The 22,068-nt window shown below is 37.4% G+C and overlaps 2 annotated features.

The window, feature by feature from the left end:
• Positions 7,663–8,162: an enhancer, noted in NCBI's record as "H3K4me1 hESC enhancer chr5:87253511-87254010 (GRCh37/hg19 assembly coordinates)". NCBI's record gives its function as "activates a minimal SCP1, AML or CMV promoter by ChIP-STARR-seq in naive H9 embryonic stem cells {active_cell/tissue: H9 hESC(naive)}" and the evidence as "EXISTENCE:reporter gene assay evidence [ECO:0000049][PMID:30033119]".
• Positions 20,028–21,731: an enhancer, noted in NCBI's record as "VISTA enhancer hs267". NCBI's record gives its function as "enhancer in: neural tube[9/11] | hindbrain (rhombencephalon)[7/11] | midbrain (mesencephalon)[7/11] | forebrain[9/11]" and the evidence as "EXISTENCE:transgenic organism evidence [ECO:0001131][PMID:17130149]".

Raw genomic sequence — 22,068 nt, 5'->3', positions numbered from 1 at the left:
CTTCACTTTTGTTGAGAGCAAAGAATTATAAAAGAATTTGCAGAATAGCCTTTATATTTATTTAGTTTCTAAATGTCTGGTGAGCTTAGTTGAAAGGGTTTCACTAAGACTATTAATTTCAATTGACTATTAATTGTATCTGTTTCTCTTTCATTTAGAGGCACTTTTTAAAAACAACTGATATATTAGGAAACTTTTGGAAACATTGAAACATTGTTAATTTCTATACCTTTGCCAATACAGAAATTGTTTGGTAAATTGCATTTATTATATCATTTGCTTTAAATATTTTTTCATCAAAACTTTGGCATGACAGATTAAAGCATTCAAATTATGGAACACATCTGTCATATAACCAAATAGGCAAAGCCGGTTTTCACTATCAAACCATTTAGGTAAGTTAGAATTACTTTCTCTCAGACAAATCTGATCTCATTTATCAATTCATGTAAATGTGTTAAGACACACTCCCTGATATCTCACTTCTTAATGTTACTTTAGAATAGACAGATCACAGAGCCTTACTAGGAGTTATTGCCTAAATAAAATACAGTTCCACTGCTTTCAAAATTTCTTACCCATACACTCTATGCTTTATTTTCTTAGGCTCTCCTTTAACAGTGATGCACTTTTTGTAAATAGTAGAGTGATGGGAGACACGAGGTTCTTAAACTCATTATCACTCCCTCTGCTTTATTGTGTGCAACATGTACATCCATTACATCCCTACAGAGGCCAAAATCCCCTACTTCTATGCCACACTTTGCTCTTAACAGAAACCTGTATAATATAAAAACAAGCAAACAAACGTGAGGCCTAACAATGATTTACGAAGTTTTTGTTAAAGAAGCCATTAGTACTCATAGTTTAATTTTTTTTCTCTGGGACCCTGGAGGTTTTCAATATTTCAAGCCATTAAGATATAGTAAAATTTGGAATGAGAGATTTTGTTTATTTTCTATTTACCTAAGTACATATGTGTGTATGTATGTATATGTTTGTGTGTTTATATAGAGGAGAAAAGAACAAATATGAAATTGAAAAAGGTGAGGCGGGGGAAACTGTCATGAAGGCTCCCATCTAAAACCATTTTCAGACAGATCAATTTTGTAAAAGAACATATAGGGAAGGTGAGTATCTGGAAAACTATTCTCTTAAAACTATATTTGGCTGTGTATCCCTTAGAAAATCGTTATGTATCCCCAAGAGTTCTCTTTTTGAAGAATGCTGATATAAAATTACTGGTTAGGAGTTCTGTGTGCTCAACAGAGTCTAGAGGGCAGTGGTGAAAGTGGCTGAAGCAGTCATGGAGCTGACTGGTTATGGAGGTGAATGCGTTTACAGAGGGACAGAGGCCTGACCTGGGTCAGGAGCAAGTGAGGTTGGGAGGTGGGCATTGATATTGTTGAGTAACTTGAAATTTACTCCATGGTGGGAGAAAACAGGAGATTCAATGTGTGTGGGAGGGTGTTGAGGGAGAAGCAAAGTGTTTATCTTTTGCCAGGAAGAGCCTCATATGGATTAGGCTGTGGTCATTTGACATAATGATTGATTTGGAGGAAAACAGGATAAGAAATTGTAAGATCAGGAAGAGGATGACAGAGACATTTCTGCTACGGAGATTGGGATTATTAAAGAGAAAGGAAAAGAAAAACTATATTTTTGTTATATCCTCATTTGTTTCTAGCAGTATTATATCCACAGTAAATTCTTGGTAAATACCTGTCAATTGACTGTGTTATTTCTTAAGCAATGTAACTAAATCCTCTCTGTGTCTGTTAAAACCACTGACAACTCAGAAGGGGGAAATATGGAGAGTCACTGTTCTCTATTCATCATGTATCAGGTGAGGGGTAGATCGAATTTTAGCAATTTATTAAAGGAATTAGAATTTTGGGAATATATCATCCTATAAAATTGTATGGTAGTCAAATAATCTGTGTTGGCTAAGTTGCTTCAATTATGAAGTCATTCAGTAGTGGACTTCTAGTAGTAGTTTTGATAATAGATTGTAGTTTTAAATAGTATCTGAGAAACATCTTTCTATTACTTCTGCATTTTCCTAAAGAAACAAATATTATGGAAAATAAATGTGCAATGGGTTTCTGGGAAAGAATGAAATTGTGTATATATTTTAATTAAAACAAGATTTTCTTCAAAATTGTGGTAACCTTTACAAATATGAGAGAAAACACACAAAAAGATGTGAATGCAATTATACACACAACTTGGGAGTTTGCCAAAGCAGAAAAAACAATTCTCATTAGTTAGCAAAGATAAGAATAGAAATAATGGATTTAAATTTAAACAAGAAGGATTTGAAAGATTGGAGAAAAATTTAACAGATCGACTGGGGAATGAAATCAATTTCTGGAAGAGATGACATGATCAAAATTATGTGAAACCTTAAAGTTGCAGCTTGAGGAACACATAGTAGGAAAAAGTGAAAGAAAGACAGGTGATGTCCCGCTGGGGGGATTGGATAAGATGATCTTCTGAAAATCTCCTCTAGGCCACTGTTACAGAAGGAGGATGTGCTGTGGACTTAGGATTCTCTAAAGACAGTGAAGAAAACATGTGAATAGAGGGGCAGAGAGGGTTTCAATCCCTGGTGGCCTCTTTTCCTCATAGTGTGAACAGAGAGGAGTTGTAGGCTGTGCGTGTGTGAGAGGGCCTGGTGCTGTAGGTGGGTGGGACAGTTCTTCTGTTCATGTGTAATAGCTGGTTGGCTGAGCCTGGGAGCCACGCATAGGAATCCTATGTATCTTTTTTTCTTTCATAGGTATGGGAATTCAGGGAACATGAAAGCAGATTTTCTCATTACCACCAAGAAGTACAGTTTTAAGGGCAGATAAAAGATATTCTTTCCTAGAATAGCAGGGCTAATAAATGGTCCTGTGAGATTCACTACTTTCCAGGCACTAGGAGAGGTCGTGGCTGAGCACAAGGGATAGACATATTTTCTCTTCTCAGCTCAGAATTCACCGAAGAGTATGTTGCTATGTGGGTGGAATTATTTCTCCAAGACAAATGAGCATATGCAGAAAGTAATTGGGGAGGACAGAAAATGTTCATGACTATTTCTATTACACCTGGGGAGCCAACTTGAATACAGAAGGGGTGATGTAGGACCGATTATAAGAATGATGCCTTAACATGTTCCTGTGCTTCAGGTTGCCTGCTAAAGGGTTATAGTCTATTGTAAATAAATAGAGCCATCCTTCAGCAGATTTAATTGCTTGCTTTTTGCTGGGAGATTAGGCTATCTATGAAGCACAAAGGCTCTGCACATGTCTCCCTGGACTTTTTGCTGTGTTCACACATTTGCAATCTCCACCTGTTGTTGGACACTGCCTTTATCAGGTGATGTCCTTCAAATAGCTGGACTATATTATGGCCAGCTGTGCCCCATGTAGAAAATAACTTTGATACCCACTGTTGAATTATGTTCCCTGTCCCTAAAATCATATGTGGAAGTTCTAACCCCCAGTACCTCAGAATGTGACCTTATCGGCCAGGCGCGGTGGCTCATGCTGGTAATCCCAGCACTTTGGGAGGCTGAAATAGATGGATTGCTTGACCTCAGGAGTTTGAGACCAGCCTGGGCAACATGGTGAAACCTCATCTCTAGAAAAATACAAAAAATTAGAAGGCATGGTAGCATGCATCTGTGGTCCCAGCTACTCAAGAGGTAAAGGCAGGAGGATAGCTTGAGCCTGGGAGGTGGAGGTTGCAGTGAGCCAAGATTGTACCACTGCACTCCAGCCTGGGTGACAGAGTGACTCTGTAGCACAAAAAAAAAAAAAAAAAAAAAAAAGAAAAAGAAAAAGAAAAGAAAGCATGTGACCTTATTTGCAAATAAGGTCTTTATAGAGGTCATCAAGTTAAAGTCAGGTCATCAGGGGAGGCTGAATCCAAAAATGACAAGTATTTTTATAAGAGTGATAATTTGGACACAGAAATACACACAGAGGGAAAACAACATGATGAGCCAAAGAGAGAAGCTGGCCATCTACAAGCCAAGGTTAGAGGATTGGCCAGTCCTCTTACAGTCTTCAAAGTAACCAATTCTGCCAACACCTCGATTTTGGATATCCAATCTCCAGAACTGTGAGAAAATAAATTACTGTTGTTTAAGCCACCCAGTTTGTGGTACTTTGTTATGGTACCCCAAGCAAATTAATAATACCAACTAATTATGGATTTACATAGACTTCATTCATTCATTCATTCTGGTATTGAGTACCTTCTGTGTTTTAGATACAGAGAATACAATAACCTTGATCTCAACAAATTTCTCGCTGCTTGATGAAGATAGATACATAAACTGACAATTTTAAAGGATAACTAGAAGAAGGATTGGGAGGTATTCAGTTCAAATATTTGGTATGTATTATGTACTAAGCAGGGTAATTTAGAGTTAAAAAGCACAGTAAAATTCAGCTCTGCCACCCTACTTTTAAGCTTGAAGAACTATTTATTCTAGTAAATCCGCAAAATGGGAATAATGATATATTCTAATGGGATTTTTGTAAGTATTAAATGAGATAACAAATGTAAAATGTTTAGTTTAGTGCCTGTAACAGAACATAGAGAAGGTAGTATTACTTGCTGCTTATGGAACATGTCACAATTGGAATGGTATGCAGAAAAATAATTGAGTTGGGGGCTGACCAAATAACCAACTAGAATGTGTGGTTTAGAATTCTACCTTGCTATTTATGCATGGGAGGCACAGCTTGAGTTTTTACAAAGGTATCAGTAATAGTTCATTCAGAAATATCTGGTTAGACCTTCCTACTTGTTTGCAAGGTCTTGGGGGCCTCTAAGCCCTCTCCCACTTAAGAGGAATAGCTTGTTTTGGGACCTCCAAGAGGAATGAGAGTGCCTTGGATTTGATTATGATACTTTCATTTTAAGCTGGAAATTGGAATTTGCATGGCTGGTATCTTGACGATTTTCTGAGCTGTGACTTGGAAAACTAAACATGAGACTTGATGGCTAGAATTATTAAAATGATAAATTTTGGACCTTTGGAAATTGTGAAGTTGTTAAAATTGCAAGCTTAAACAGAGTGGGAAAAGACAGCTATTGTTTCAGAAACAGCTCAGTAGAGTAATCTTGGAATACAATTCAGAAATCCTCTCTGGCATTTATTTCAAGAGCAATGGCAAAACATAATTTTAGCTTTAGTGTGCAGAAGCTTTTAGACAATGGAGGTGCTGGAAATAGTTTTGGACAATGGAGGTACTAGAAATAGGTACCTTTCTATCTTCGACTTTGTTAAGATACGAATATTTTTAAAGCATAAGTCCCAGTGGTTTCCTGCCAGAAAAATATAGTCATCAATGCCCCATGTCCTTTCTTCAAAGAAGAGCCTGTTCTCTCTCCAGGCTATGCAGAACTGGGCCAGACTAGGGTCTTCAGGATCTGATGGTGTCCTGTCCTTTATGACTTGGGATAGCTAACAACCTTCTGGCATAAGAGGAATGGCAATTTTCCCAATTTCCATAAAAACAAAGTCCACAACCAATCAGCCAAACATATATATTTTTTTAAATGGTAGGATAAATCATTTTCATTAAAAAAAAAAAGCAACAAAAACGATAGGACTAATCACTGATGATGGGAGTCAGAGAAGTTGTGTTATGATCCTGAGGAACATTTCACTCTCTTAATCTCTAGGTGCTCTTTAAAAAAACCCATACCTGGAGTTGATTCCTTCTGGCTTTGAGATGTTCTTGACTGTACATGAAATAATCTGGAAAATGGTAGAGTGATTTTATTTTCGTAGAAGGAATAACATGCATGAAAGTCTTTCCATAGAAGGTGGGAGTTTGGAAACCGAGTATTTATTTCATAAGAGAGAGTAAGAGATTAAGAGAACTTTGTGTAAAATACCCCCCCTAAGAGGAAGCACAGGGGCAGGAAGTGTGGAAGAAAGAACTGAAAACACAGACTTGTCAAATTTCACTAAGCCATCAAGGGAACTTATCAAATTCTGGTGAATAGAAATCTTTCTTCCTGTAAATAGTGCCCTGGTACTGATCTCATCTTGACTGAAGTTTAATATACTCTATATATACCAGTTCTGGGGAATATTTCCGTGACTTTTGAACTATGAGTCAACCCTAGCTGAAAACTTTAGATAGAGTGATTTTGAATTGATTAAGTTAGCTTTTGAGTATGTCATGCCCTGAAAAGACTTGCAGTTACTCACTGGGAGATGACTCCTTTGCTGGTGCTGAGCTCCTGCAGTCCTTGTGTGAAGATAGCACTCTTTTGCAAGTTAGGAATCACCCTTTCACATTGGAGTGTCCAGTTGGTACACTAGAAAAGGATAAAACATGTGGTCATATCACTGACAAAAAAGATCCAAGTGCCCTTTCAGAACTATCCGTTTCCTTGGCTTTACAGACTTCTTGAAACTTTGTATTTTGTAGAGACAGTATGGGAAGAAATGAAAGTTTAGTCAAGTATTTATATTTGATCAACTACTCGTTTCCCTTAAAAGTTGAGTTCATTGGCTTTAGACTTCACTCTTGTAATGGGGGAAACATGTTGTCTTCCTAATACCCATAGGAATCTCATGCAGAAAAAAACCCTCTCCACACTCTTAATAATATGAAAACTCTATCTGGCCCACTGCAGTACCTGTCAGAAGTAGAACTTGTACCTGGGTTTAAGACCCTGAGGCAGATTTACCGTAAAGCTAATGAAGCTTAAGCTTTAGAACCTCAGTGTCTTGGGCTTAATTTTTACTTGTAATTCTGTAGTATTTTGCTTAAAGAAGGCCCCCATAATTATGTAAACATAATGTTCTGGGAAACCTAGACCTCACCTCTGGCAAGAATAGAGTCACTGGGATAAAGAGGTGGATATTATTACCCCCAGTAATCCTCAGAACTCATAATTCATGTTCATCTCTCAGAGTATTTACATGAAAGTTGAAAGAGAGAGTGAAGGCTTCTCAAAGTTTCTGCTGTGTTTGTGATTCTGTGGCCTTCCTTGCTGATCCTTCTCAATTGCAGATCAATCTAGATCTGGAAATTCCCTCCGCAAGAGGTCAGCTAAGGAAGTAGAAGCTTAGTGTTTTTCTTCTGCAGTTAACAGGGAAGATGTTTATTTTACTAATTTTTGTGTGAGGTCCCAGAATATACACTTCTTCCATTATCACTGCCCTTTCATTTGCTAACATGGAAAGTATAGGATGAATACTCATTTAGGAAAGCTGACTTAGAGTGGGAATGTGCTCAAAGGTAGCATCATTTAATTTATATTTTATTCATTCAGTTGTGAGGTGCCAAACTGCCCAGTTTATTTTTTAGAGGGAGTTAATGATTAATAGTAGCTTATTAAATTTGGAAACAACATAATCAACTACAGATTTTTTTAAAAGTGGCTGTAATTTCCTATCTACCTTCAGATACATAAAATAGACAATATTACTTTAATTTTTAAAGGAGAGGTGTTCTTTCTTAACCAGCATGGCACATGTATACATATGTAACTAACCTGCACATTGTGCACATGTACCCTAAAACTTAAAGTATAATAATAATAATAATAATAAAAAGAATAAAAGAAAAAATAATGAAGACAAAAAAAAAGGTTCACTGAAAAATATTTCATACAAAAAAAAAAAAAGTCTGTGAAAGCCAAGGAGGCTTTCAAATTATTTTAAAGACCACTTAGGTGAAATTTGCAATACACTTTTAAAATATGCCACTGTCACAGCTGCTGTCTGATAAAGCTCAGGCTCCAAACTGTGCTTCTCAGTAGCCTGTGAGATCATTGCTGTCAGGTGGCATTAGCTTCTTTGCAACATCCTCCTACTATGTGCCATGAGGGAATAAAGCCACATCTCCCTGGGAAGCTCCTATCAGTGACTCAGGAGAAATCCAAGTTCTTTCTCAAGAAGCTCTTCAAACTTTACGCAAATACATTTCCACTCCATTATTGACCAGAAGGTAGGTTTTAATTGTACTGTGAATATTTGCAATGACCTAGATGGAAAAGTTGAGACAAAAAAGGGGCCGGGTGCGGTGGCTCACGCCTGTAATCCCAGCACTTTGGGAGGCCGAGGCGGGCAGATCACGGGGTCAGGAGATCAAGACCATCCTGGCTAACATGGTGAAACCCCGTCTCTACTAAAAATACAAAAAATTAGCGGGGCATGGTGGCGGATGCCTGTAGTCCCAGCTACTCGGGAGGCTGAGGCAGGAGAATGGCCTGAACCTGGGACGCGGAGCTTGCAGTGAGCCGAGATCGCGCCACTGCACTCCAGCCTGGGCGACAGAGTGAGACTCCGTTTCAACAACAACAACAAAAAAGAAATAAGACAAAAAAGGCATTGTTGGGATATGGGGGGCGAACAGAAGGTTTGGGATAGAAGTAATGAAAGTCAAGAGCAGTGGGGGAGTTGGGGGAAAGGTGTTGAAGAAAGGTAGTTGATTTGTCCTTCTTAATCTCTGGTTCTCAGTTTGATCAGACATTAAGTCCATTCTTTTACTTTTTTTTTCATCTACTTTCTTAGAGCCAAAACTGGGGGAAGAGGTCATAGCACTATACTAACTTATGCTTCAACATTACACTCCTCAGGCATTGATTCTAATTAAGATAGCATTAACTGAGAATGAGAACAGTTGACTTTCATTCTCAGATGACTCTTTGAGTCAGTCCTCTGTGTGGCTCCACCTCTTAAGAGAAATTAATGATACCTTCCCATTTTTGCCTCATCAAAGAGTAGTGATATCTGCCCATTTTTACTTCACCAAATTTGGAGAGAAATTCCAAATAAACATCAAAGAAAAAAAGTATATTGATGCATTCTCAACATTAGAGGTATTTCTTCTCATAAAATTGTTTTTAATTATTAAAAATAGGTTATTTTATTACATGCATTTGAAGCAAAGGGATAAAACATGCTTTTGAAGTCAGGATGTCAACGTAGATGTGAATAACACATATGTTGACACCGAAGTTAAAAAGACCCCACAAAAGTGACAAATGATGAAGAAAAAGCACTATTACAGCAGATCTTGACCTTTTGAGAATATGATCAGCCTGTCAGCACTAATGGTTTTCTATGCTCATAGCAAAAAGCTATGAGTGCCTACATTTGGGATGGAGGTCAGATGATATCTCAATATAAAAATAATGAAATGGTACCCTGTCATACACACAAAAAAATAATTCTCCAATTTCCTCTTCTTTTCATCCTTTCTTTGCAACAGAGATGTACACATGTTTGCATAATATGAATATGCACAATGAGCCTGGCTCTTTTTCCTTCCACCATCCCAACCTATCCAGTCCTAAAGAGGACTCTTATTAATATCCCTTAAGGGTATTATGGCACTCAGAATAGTTATTAGGACCAAAGGATTTTTTTAAGGGTTCTCAAAACAGGATAAGGAGTCAGGAAATGGAATCAATTTGATCTATTTAATACTCTTATTGTGCACTTGAAGCTTTAGAGATTCAAAAGAATCTCTTATGGCTATATTGCACTCCCAAATCTCCAAACCCAGATGTTTCTCTTTTGACCTAAAAATTTTGTCTCCTCCTCTAGCTGTCTTGAATTTATTAAAGAGGATCATAGTTTTTTAGAAAGGTCCAGCAATATTATGTTTTCCTGACTATCTGAGTTTTTATCAATGGATCCTCATAAGCAGACTAAGCAGACAGACAGGAACTCAGGAGAATAGCATCTTGATTTATGCAAGAAATGTGGGCAACATGGGAGAAAGGCCCCCTCAACATTCCCTTTAATCCTTGGCAAGGATTGACCATGGTTATGGTTTTAAGTATAGTAGTAGACAGAAAGTTAAAGGTGGGGTAAATTTCTCCTGGAAGTGAGAAAAAAATAAGATTTCAAGTATTCCACTGATACATAAGAGTGAATAATAATAACAATAAATATGAGAAATAAGAATTACAACAGAGACAAACTACTGCTGTGGATGGCCTATTAATTAGCAGGAACCATAAGCAAATCAGATGCTCTGACCAGGTGTCTGGATGTGAGGAAATTCTAGTTGAATTGAACCAGTTGCCTTAACAGGCGGAGAATGAACTGGTTCATGCAAAAACAGACAGACAAACAAACAAACAAACAAAAAACATACTTACTGCCATTAAATTGATCCAGTAAGCAAGAGATAGAAATCAATCATCAATTTGACCTGAATCAAGAGATTTTTCCCATAGGCTTTTTGCGTATATATTAAATGTTGTAATAGCCATAGACTATGTCAAAATTGTTTAAGGCTAAACTTTCAATTTGTGTTTTTTTCCTTGTTATTCCTCACTCCATCAATTCTACACTTATTGTACCTGTGATGTCACAGATCTTATTGAAAAATCGGTCGGGCGTGCTGGCTCACGCCTGTAATCCCAGCACTTTGGGAGGCTGAGGCGGGTGGATCACTTGAGGTCAGGAGTTTGAGATCGGCCTGGCCAACATGGTGAAACCCTGTCCTTACTGAAAATACAAAAATTAGCCAAGTGTGGTGGCTGTAATCCCAGCTACTCGGTAGGCTGAGGCAGGAGAATAGGTTGAACCCAGGAGGAGAAGATTGCAGTGAACCGAAATCACACCACTGCACTCCAGCCTGGGTGACAGAGTGAGACTCTGTCTCAAAAAAAAAAGAAAAAGAAAAAATCATTACCAATGCCTCCCGCCAGCCCCCCCACCCACCAAAATATTCTGTATGGAAGAAATTAGGAGTGATTTTTAAAAAATTGTTCCTGTTGTGACACAGCCTCCCAAGGCAGGGGCAGCATTGTACGAGGACAAGGAGGGTGAAAGAAAGTTCAATCAGGTCACTAAACTCTGAAAAGACACTATTTCAGGTCTTAGAAGTCTCTCCAGGGATTCTTCATCTTCATCTTGCATTAAGTCAAAGATTTCCATTTAAATTTTATATCTCAATGGATAAACTCCATATTAATCGCCTCTGTGGGCCACGTTCTTCATGGCATTTCTTTTATTCCCAGTCATTTGACATTTCCTCCTCAGGGTAGCATGACATACATGAGCTGTCTCAGAATTTCTTGAATAAATATTCACTATAATCATTTCAGAGAGGCAATGGTAAGTCATTGGCACAAAGGGTTATCTGAATTTTCTTGAGTTTAAGAAATTTTTTCTTCATAGCCTAGCAGATAACTGGGAGTCAGGCATTCATTTCCTTCCTGCTCTATTTTGCCACTGGGGAAATATGCGTTGTTTTACCTCAGTGATTTCATATGCAAAATGGGAATAATTACACTTTTTCTTTGGCTCACTGGAGGGTTAAGAGGATTAATGCTTTTTCTTTTATTTAGAAAATGCATGTACTTCATGAATGAAACATGCTTTAAGTGGGAGTTATTATTAGGATTATTATCATCAATAAGGACTTAAATATGTTCTTTGTCAAATAGAATCCTAAAAGTTAAAATTCAAGCTAATAAATTAAAACAGGCTTGAGGGGATATGAACTTGAATGTCTGTCAATGACAATTGGATGCAGTGAGTAATCCAATTTACTTCAGGAAATATGTAGCTGTGGCAGGGGTGAGGAGTAGGCATGAGGCTGGAAGACTAACAAAGGGAGTATATAGATATTCATTAATTCCTCCAGGAAATAGTAGGAGGGAAAGGAGGGTTTGGAAGACATATTTACCAAGAGAGGAGAGACAGGAACTGTAAAAGGATAAAATAAAGGGAAAGCCCTGAAAAGTAAAATGATTCCGAGAAACTGGCAAAATTTACAAAGCACAGACTTGGATGCTTGGGAAATGTCAGCCAACTGACAGACACAAATGAGATTCAAGGAGAAATCAAGGGTTTGGGGAGAAATAAAAAAGATCCACTCAAATTATTCCATAATTAGAACTAAAGTTTTACTAAGGAAAAAAAGTATGGTGGAAAAAGCATAAAGCTGGGAGAAACCACTTAAATTGCCTCTGAATTCTATACCTCCAATTCAATGTAGTTGTCTAGAGAACAGAACTGAGATGCTCAAGAGGCTGGAGGTACTATCCTCTGAAGACAGATTGGAAAGCCTGGACTCTTTCATCTAGAAAGAAGGAGGCAGAGCAGATACGTGCTTGAAGTCACTAATGTCACCAGTGGTCTCTATTGAGAAAGTACAAGGCTATTTTCTGAATCCCACAGTGCTGATTGAAGAGAACTCCCATTGAAGCCTGGAAGAGGAAGACACATTTAGAGAGGTCAATAATCCAATAGGTGGTAATAACTAATACGTAAATTGATTTAAAAAGATAAGTTAAATTCAGATATGGATTCCTGATTTTGGTATTAAGGTGGGCAGATACTGCTCTTCATCAACATCTCCCTTAGTGTTTCTATCAGAGCTAGACCTATAACCTAGATGCACCAAGAATATCACTCACTGTAGATATCCGTATGTCTTTATATTCTAGCTGGAAATAGCAATTTTATGTCTCACCACCTTTTAATATGAGGGAATGAAAAGGTTAACATTCTTCTTGCTAATGCAACAAGTTTTATTCATGCATGATTCCATGCTCATGGACCAGAAAAGGTAGGCAAGGTATGGGAAGGGGAACATCAGTTTACCCTTCCTGTGTACTCCAGGGGTAGGGAGATTGTAGTAAGAGTGTTTAAGGTAGTATTCAGCAGCTGCTGACCTCCACAGGGTCAAAACTTAAACTTAGAAAGACCTGAATTAATGTCACAGTTACATCATCTTCTATTTCATTGGAAATAATGCTCAGAGGCCAATGTCCAAGGTTACTTTGATATATGGGAGGTTTCTGAAATTCCTGTGTGAGCTTTGTTGACAAAATCGTGTGTTGCACATGACAATAGTGACGTGACTCTTGAGTACTATTATTTTCCAGACAACAATATACACTAATCATCCCGTCTTTCATAGACCTAACAACCTGGGACAGTGAGTTTTGTCTCTAGCTTAAAATTTTCTCTAGCTTAGCATTAGAATCATCTTGGAAGTTAAAAAAATTAATAACCACACCGAGTCTCCCATATCCCCACCCCCAATGCACAGACACATGAAGATTCAGTTTTATTGGCTTGGGCATGAGTGCTTTTGAAAAGTTCTTAGAATTTTTTAATGTTCACCCAGAGTTAAGGCCCATTAATGAAGAGGAAAGACTGACACTGAATACATGTAATAGCAAGATGATGACTATTATAAGGAAGTATGCTGAGCATGGTGGCATGCACCTGTAGCCCCTGCTACTCAGGAAGCTGGGGCAGGAGGATTGCTTGAGCCCAGGAGTTCAAGGTTATAGTGTGTCACGATTGCACCTGTGAAAAGACACTGCACTCCAACCTGGGCAACATAGTAAGCCCTCATCTCTTAAAAAAAAAAAAAAGAAAAAGAAAAAGAAAAATAAGTACCCATGGTACAATGGATGTTCAAAATCTCATGGACAGCATTTATCTAGAGTAGATGCAAATGTTTTAGGATTTACAGAGTAAACATAACAGGTATGAAGGTTACTTTTATTTTATTGAGGATTTTACTATTAAGATTACATTTAGTTACAAAATTCACCATAATTGCTTTGCCTAAAAAGATCAGTGTTAAGGCAATCAATGGATGATAACGTATAGATTTTCTCTGAAAATTTTCTGGATCAGGATTAGTATGTACTTGCTTCACTCAGATATATTAGGGCAGAGAAAAATTTAATAAAGCACACTCCTACTAGGGTAAGAGAAGAAAGTTTATTTTCATATGCATTGTGTTAAAAAACAAAATCAACTGGAGTAGAGTATAGAAAATTAAGTCAACATGAATCCTGAAATGCTGCTGTGAGAAACTGTGAATTGCTCATCAATATAATCACATGTCAACAACCCACAACTGGATTGAGGATAAGCATCAAACTTAACATATTCCAGTTAGTTGCAGGTTGCGTGAGATGTCTTTTTCAGACAGCATTATCACATAGCAATGCCTGAAGTTCCACTTTGGCAGAGGTACTTTAAATAACAAAAGACTCTCAAACATAATGTGGTTTCTTTACAATAGTGCTTGCCTGTGTATGGACCTACTCTTTCTTAAATCATACAGGTCACATAGACCCTTATTTAAACTGTAGTTATGGGCAGGATGCTAAATGAATGACAGCTCAACCTGAGGTCATGGGTTATCAAAGTCATATCTAATTGCACACATGTGCAATTTTCTCCTTCCTAAAGTCCCTCCTTTTTAATGGCACATTTTAGGGTAGTTCTCAGCAGCAGAACTCCTTGTTTATTAGTAAATTATGGGCTTTCTCCTTAGTATCTAAAAATAATGTTACCAGTTCTATACTCCAGGAAGCATGGAAGTTAGAAAGCAGTACTTCACAGCAGACAGGCCCATTTGTTTTTGTAATTCAAATCAATGTAAAGAAATGTCATCTCAAAACATATTTTTAACAGTGACTTTTGGGCCTCTAGCACATTTTTCACAATTATTATCTGATGCAAACATATCGAGATTAAAAAAGTAAATTTTAATTTAACTTCCTTTGACTAGATCTTGAATGTAAACACAGCTGTTTGTGCACTCAATTCATTAAAAACAATCAGAGGTCTCCACTGACCTGGGAGCTTTAGGGATAGATATCATCAGTATTGGAAGACTTCTCAGCTTACAGTGGAAAGTACTGAAAAATTAACTCAGAAGCAACTACCTACAAGCAAGTGTTCTGTGATAACAGGTGCCTCTTTGTGTAGGAAAAGAGACACAAACTGACCCTATAGGGGCAAGGGTTGGGGACAGAGTGCCCAGCATGTAGGTCTTTCAGAAGGCACAGGACTGAGGTCGCTCAGGGAAGAAATTACAGATCACTTCCTTTGTTATTTATGCCTAAAATAGCTTCTTGTGACCTTCTAAAACTCAAGAGGATACAATTTAAGCCCAACATGGAAATGTCCAATATATTGGCGTTGTTAGATAATGTACTCAGTGGGTAAAATAGTGAAGCATTCTCTTTAAGCAAGCACTCAGCACTCATGTGTCTCCTGTCACTAGATACACTCAGCTACATGCCTGTATTTTAATCAGAGATTTACATACAACCAAAGATTGCAGATGGTCTTAGGTTCTTATCTTATTCTCCCAAGAAATGTTAGCAGGATTTAAACATCTGGGATTTGTGTCTTTTGGCAAAACATAGAGATAAATGCTTTTCATTTTTGTTAATTACATATAGTTTTATCTCAGGGAGGCACTCTTCCTTTGTGGCATCTCAGCGAGAAACTGACAGTGTCTACTTCTCTTATGAGTAGAATGCTTTCCATTGTTACAAGGTTTATAATTACATGTTTGTGACTTCATCCCCAATAGCCTCGCCCCATGAATACAGATAACATCTTACAAAAGAGGAGGCTGGGAACGACTCTAACAGACAGGGTGGGAGGAGAGGGAGGCTGATGTGCTCAGTGACCATCTCCTAGCGAGGCTCTGGGACAACCAGTGGGGGAACTTGGCCCTTCAGGTTTCTGGTGCTGCCTATAGTCTGAAACACTGCCCTTCTGTTTCATGAGCTGTGAAGCACCCTTGGGAAGATGAAGAAATACTCAACCTATAGGTTGACATTTTATTTATATCACATCTCTTGTTGAATTGTTCTGAAGAACCCGAGGTGGCCGTGGCATTCCTTCTCTTTATTCACTTGGTTACAGTTTAAAATTTGAATAGCTGTTTATGCTGGAAGGCTGAACACCCAATCAGCAGTCTTTGAATTGAAGCTGTATTGTTCACTCATGAAAATGCCTGTTTCATCTGTCAGCTCTCTTTTATAGTCAGCCTAATAATTTATGCTTGCTAAAGATGTTTTCTGACCTGTGATTCCATTGCCAGTTAGGAAAGGGCTTTGGCAGCATTCACACTTCCTTTCGTAATAGGGGGCCAGTAAGGTACAATTTAGTGAAATTACTGCTCCAGTGCACTAATGGTACCCAGACCCAGACTGGGGGAGGGCAGAGGGACGGGATGAGGGACCCTATCCTTTAAAGAGGGCACTAGTCTCCACAGAAAGATATCCTGGAAAGAGGCCTCTTTGGGAGCCGACTCCCTCCCTGAGGTCTGCATAACCCTGATGACTGAGTTAACGCACCCATAAATATGCCACAGGGCACTACATGGGACAATATATAGTTTTCACTAACACAAATAAAAATAGATCATTTTTACCCAGGAAGTTTATATCATCTCTTTGAATTTGTCTTTTTTTAAAAAGGTATTGTGATTCTATTTAAGTGACCCATTTTTAGAAAAAAAGCACATACATAATAAAGTCCTTTGTGCCCTTCAAAAGGGATTTATTTGTATGTGCTTGAACTATGTATTCTTTATCTTATTCCTGTTGAAAGCATATTAAGTGGGACTTCTTTAAATGGGCCATCCTGCATTATAATTATAATCTTTTCAAGTCTTTAATTTGCAAGTTATTGGCAGACCTGTCCTGAAGAGAACTTTTCTAATTGCAAATGGAACTATTCTCCAAGTAAGGTATATTTTTTTCCTTTTTTGATTCTCTCATAATATTTCATTTTTATTTCTCATAAATCATTTATCTTATCCTCCATAAAAATCATTTGTGTACCTTTTTTTTACCCTACCAGTTTTGTCAATGTCTTGAGGTTGGTGACTTCATCTTAATTTATTTTTAATTTATTACAGCCTCTATCTCAATGGTATTCTTTTAGGAGGGATTTAATGAATATCGGTGAATTGATTTCAAGAATATTTTAGCACAACATCTTAAATTGAAGTAGATTCTCTCTCTACATATTCTAATTTCAGAAATAGACTTGACTATACAATGAACTTGATGAGTCCAGTCAGAAAGCAGATTTTACCAAAGACATAACATTTAATAAAATGAGTAAATAAAAATTGTAAATAAACTCTTCAAAGAAGACATTTCAAGAGATTTTTGGATGACGTTTAAAAAATTTAAATAAGTCTTTTAAATAAAGATATTTTAAAAGTTGATCCTTACTGACTTTCAGCTTTAATAGATCTGGCAACAGAAATGCTGAAACACCTCTGTAGAAGCTGAAGGCTTACGGGTGTGATATGGACAGTACAAATAAAGGTTCCCAAGTATTCTCAGATGATAATAACTGACGATGTTGTAGCACTTTGAAGTTCACAAAGGGCTTTCCTATTGAAGTAGGCATTAATAATCCCTTTCCATGAATGGTTTCAAAAAGGTTCCCTGACTTGCTTGGGGTCATTAAATGAGCAAGGAATAGAGCTAGAGTGAAGTGTGAGACTGGGACTGTGAAAGGCCCCTCTCCACAGTTCTGCCTGCTGCTTCTTTTTTGTCTTTCAAGTTATGCCTCCTTTTTTAAATAAATAAGTGAAAGATGGTGTTTGCCATCTTGTTTATAGATTTCTGCTTTACAAAGACATAGGATTTCAGAGCTAAAATAAACTGTAAAGCTCATGCAAAACACAAAAATTTTTATTTCACAATTGAGGAAAGGAGAGCCTTTATTTTATTATTTTTATTTTTGTTAATAATAGTAGGCTATAGATTAATTAAGCTTTTAAGCTTTTTAGATTCTAGTTCCTTAATCAAGAGCTCTGTGGCATAGATATTTTTTCTATTCTAACAATAAAGAGACAGGGTGCAGAAAGGACCGGTGATTTTCTCAACATCACATTTAGAAAAAGACAAAACACATCTGCTGTACCCCAAACCAGGTCTCTTAATACTTAATGCCATGATGTACCTTTACTATGTTAAACAGTAATGGCAGAATTCGATATTATGACGGATTATATCCCTCACCAATGCTTTTGCTAAGCAATTGATAAAAATGCATGAAGCTCCTTGCTCCTATCTTCAAATCTCTGTCTCTAATTGTACCTTTTCTTGAAGTGTTCTATAGGAGCAATGGACATTAAAAATTGGTTTTAATTATGTGGTTTTTTTTAAATACAAAGTTTTGGTCTCCATTACTTTGGACTTGTACCTGGCTGAGTGTTCCATCTTATTTTTACAAACCAAGTTCAAAAGCCCATTTACACTTAAACATGCTTTCTGGAAAGTGAGAAATAAGTCATGAAACTAGAGAGTGTTCAGAGAAAAGCCACTGAAATGATGAAAGACTTGAAAGGTGCTTTCTGAAGGCAGATCAACTAAAAGACAACTTCAGTCTAGAACGATGAAGGCTCTACAAATGGGTGACATCTTGATCCAAGTTCAAAAGTTGTAATGTAACATTTTTTGGGATAATATGGACAGATTCCCTAAGCCTCAGCACTCCCTCTAAGGGACTTTTTAAAAGATTTTATATATAACATATACTTCTCCACAACATATCTGCTCCTCCAGGACAATTGCAGACACTTTTGTGGGCTCCTTGTCCACCTTTGTATTTCTACTGGTTTTTGCATTGTACTATTCACTAGGTAAATTCTTAGTAAATTTTTATTTAGTTGAACTGAATTATAATTTTCAGATAGATACAAAGCATGGTTTTGCGAAGTGGCTAGTATAGCTACAAATCTTGTTACTCCAAGAAGTGATGATAGTCTTAAATTCTCAGTAGATTCATGAAACCTCTAGATTAAATTCTGGTATACCTGTAATTGATTTTTAAGGAATTTGACATATCTGCATGAATAAATAACTTCTGGAGGTGTGAACTTGAATGACAATATGTCCTTTCATAGAACACCTCTAGGATATTCAACTGTGGATGATCCTTGGTTTGGCTTAATATGATATTATCCTTACTGATATTTTTACAAGTTGTACAAATATGTGTGGAAACATCATCTATCAATTTCTTTCAAAAGTTCTGTTAGGTTGTAGTCATTATAAAATATTATAATTATTCTTATTCTAGCTGCTATTATTTTTATTAACCTCGGTAGTTTGGTTTTTTGGTCAGATGAGGACTTGAAAAAGGTAATGTGCTAACACACTTTTAACTCATTGTTAGCAGTGGGAACTTGAGATTTTGTCTTTCCTTCCTACCTAGTATCACACTGTTCCTCAACTAAAGTCCTTGGCTATCCTCTCAAAGCCTTCTAACAATGCCCCACCTAGGCTGCTGACATAGAGGGATCTGAAGCAAGTCTCAAAGAACAGCTTGTGGATAGTTTCAGATTATGACATGTGATCATTGAAAACTCTTGTTACCTATCCCCACCTTTTTTTTTTTCATTCCTCTCACCTTCTTAACCTCCTCTCGAGATGAAAGCACCACAGCTACTAATAAAACAATTTGACTTTCAGTAACAGTTGGGAACCTCCATCTGGTGTAAACGTGTAGAGGGATGCCCTTGGTGCTAGTTAGCAGAAAATGTGGGAAGCAGGAAAAAACTCCTCTCATAAACAACGTGCCCTGTGATGAGCTTCTCATTCATTACAGGTTATGGTAGCTACAAGGCCCTCAAATTTAGGCATAATCTAAGAATAGATGATTTTGGCTCCTTGTGAACCACAACTGCTCTGTTGAGAAGCAGCTACTGGCGCAAATGTGCATTGTGCAAATAATTCTCCTACACTGAATTTAAAGAGATAACACAATCCCAGTTGGAGTCTTTGCAAAGAATAAAGATATAGCTCAGTGTCATGCCCATAGCAGGCACTCATCATTGAATGAATGCATGAAAGACCACCAAAGCATAGTTTGATTATGTCTAGGTGAACTGGTAAATGGTAGATAATATCAGGGATATGTTTTTCTTTTCACATCTAAAAGATGTTGGTGGAGGTTGTGGGTAGAGGTAAGCGGAGCGTAGTGATTCTTCAAGGGTGAAAGTGAGAATTCCCTTTGCTTACATGTATCACCTTTTTATTTTCCTACCCAACAACTATGTTACTTAAGACAGGGGAAGGTAAGTTTGGGATAGCTTCTGTAAACCTTCTATAATCTGGGAGAATCTAAAGACCATAGTTTAGGGTGTGGTGCTCTCCTAGTTGAAAAGATATTTTGTAAAACCTAATCATTAATTTTTAATTTTATGCTATTTCTATTATTCTTGTGTCTATAGGCTAGGCAGTGCGCCATGCTTTTCTGTGGAACAGATCTCACTTCTCCATAAACAGAATCCTTTGGCTATCTCTCTTTGGTTAGCTATTTGATGAAAAGATTACAGAATCAGGCTGTATCTGAGACCTATTTTGTAGCCTACATATATTTACATAAATTCCTTGAAAAGTAAATAAAAAGAACCAAATGAATAAAATGGTGAAGACATGTGAGATCCAAAGCAGCTACTTATTTGAAGGGTAGAAAAAGACAGTCTTGTGTCATTACAATTAAACTGAGTACTCTGGTTCATTTACTATTTTCGGTGAATTTTAATTGAGTTGTGTCTCATTTTTATAAATGTTGTCAATCTTCATTTTCTCTGTCTCCCATGCACCAGCTTAAACACACACGCATGCAGATCCACATATGGGCATGTTTTGGGAGAGTACTGACTACAGATATACCCTAACACCAACTTACACACAGTGACACATAGTGCTATAAACACTAAAACATCCAACCTTGATAGAACACCCATAAGAACAACAAAAAAAAAGCCTTCTTTTTAATGCATTTATTTTATGGACACAAAAGCTCAGCTAGTAATCAGTTTTGATAACTTTAGATGTCTGTTTCCCTGATGTAATGACTAGACTGAGGCAATAACAATACTTCATTATGCTATTCAAAGTGTATGGCAGGATTCAGTCAGAGCTAGACTCAAAACCTGGCCCACAGCTGAAAGCAGAGATGATGCATTAATCCACAGCAACACCCTCTCCCCCACTGCTCCCCTCAGCATTCAGCCACTAATAATGGATATCATTTTTCTTCATAAAACTGGTGGTACTTGAATCAAGCACATGACAGTTAAGGTTTGTTTAGTCTTTCAAGCAGGTGATTACAGGATTGAACTTCCCAAGTGAGAAGCCAGTGGAATACAAATAGTTAAGAACACGTTTAAAGGGGGAAAAATTGTCCAGCCCCATCTGTCAAACTGTGCGTATGACATCATCAGATATTCTGCACTTGTTTGCAGCTATTCAGGCTGGCCCGCCCCGCAGTCTATGCTTTGTGTTCCAGTTTCCTTTACAGGGCCAGCGGGCTGGAAAATTACCACATGCTGTCACAGTTAGCTCAGCCAGGTCTTGTTATCATTGTTTCCAAGGAATCCATTCATTCCGTTATTTTACATATTGGGCAGACGTCCTGCCACTGAGGCTTGGGCTGCAGTAACTTGAAGGGCCAAACGTTAATGGGCCTCTATTGTTGGTAGAATGGCAGTGCAATACGTGGGAAAAAATACCCAGACAGCTCCCTGACACTGGTTTAGGACCTCTAGACTTAGGGGGTAGCCTGTGAAGATCTTTTATGTAAACAAGCCTTCAATAAACAATGAATATCTCCTGTGTCAATATTCATAACCCATCAATAAAAAAATTATAAATCTTCAACTAGAAAGAAGCCCAAATGTATTATGGATGACAGAGCTTTTCCTTAAAATAATCTATAGAATGTGCACAAGTCTCCTTCTAAACACTGCTAATTTATAGGGGGGGAGGGCAACATTGTTGAGGCTTTGAGGAAAGAAAAGCATTTGATTTGGGGCTAGCTGTATTCTCATTGCAGTGGATAATATGGTGTATAAGTTTTGTGGCTTCCACCACTACAGACTGAAATAAAGACAAGGGCCTAGGTGACACATTACATCTTCACCATGCTGGCAATTTAAAGAAAGTTAATGAAAACATTAGAAAAGTTGCCTAGATAAAGCTTAACTTTAGGATGGGTTATGTTATCTTGATTAATTAGAGCATAAATAAGAATGAAATTTAAAAACTGTAGTGATATCGATACAGGAAAATCCATTCTTTATGGAAGATATAGAGTGAAACTGCAGTTTTTGTTTTTCTTTTAATGGAATACATTCTCTTTCTTGTTTCAACATAAATCTGATCTTTTCATTATACAGTGTATTGGAAAGGGATCACAAAGTGTTATGGATCTTCTAATTTTTATTACTGGCCCCAGAAACTCTTCCACCTGACTTTCTTCACCTTGGACAATAGGAG

The sequence above is a fragment of the Homo sapiens genome, chromosome 5 (assembly GCF_000001405.40).
Source record: "Homo sapiens chromosome 5, GRCh38.p14 Primary Assembly".
Taxonomy (NCBI): Eukaryota; Metazoa; Chordata; class Mammalia; order Primates; family Hominidae; genus Homo; species Homo sapiens.
Note: the sequence above shows the minus strand (reverse complement) of the source record. Positions and strands in the feature narration are given on the sequence as shown.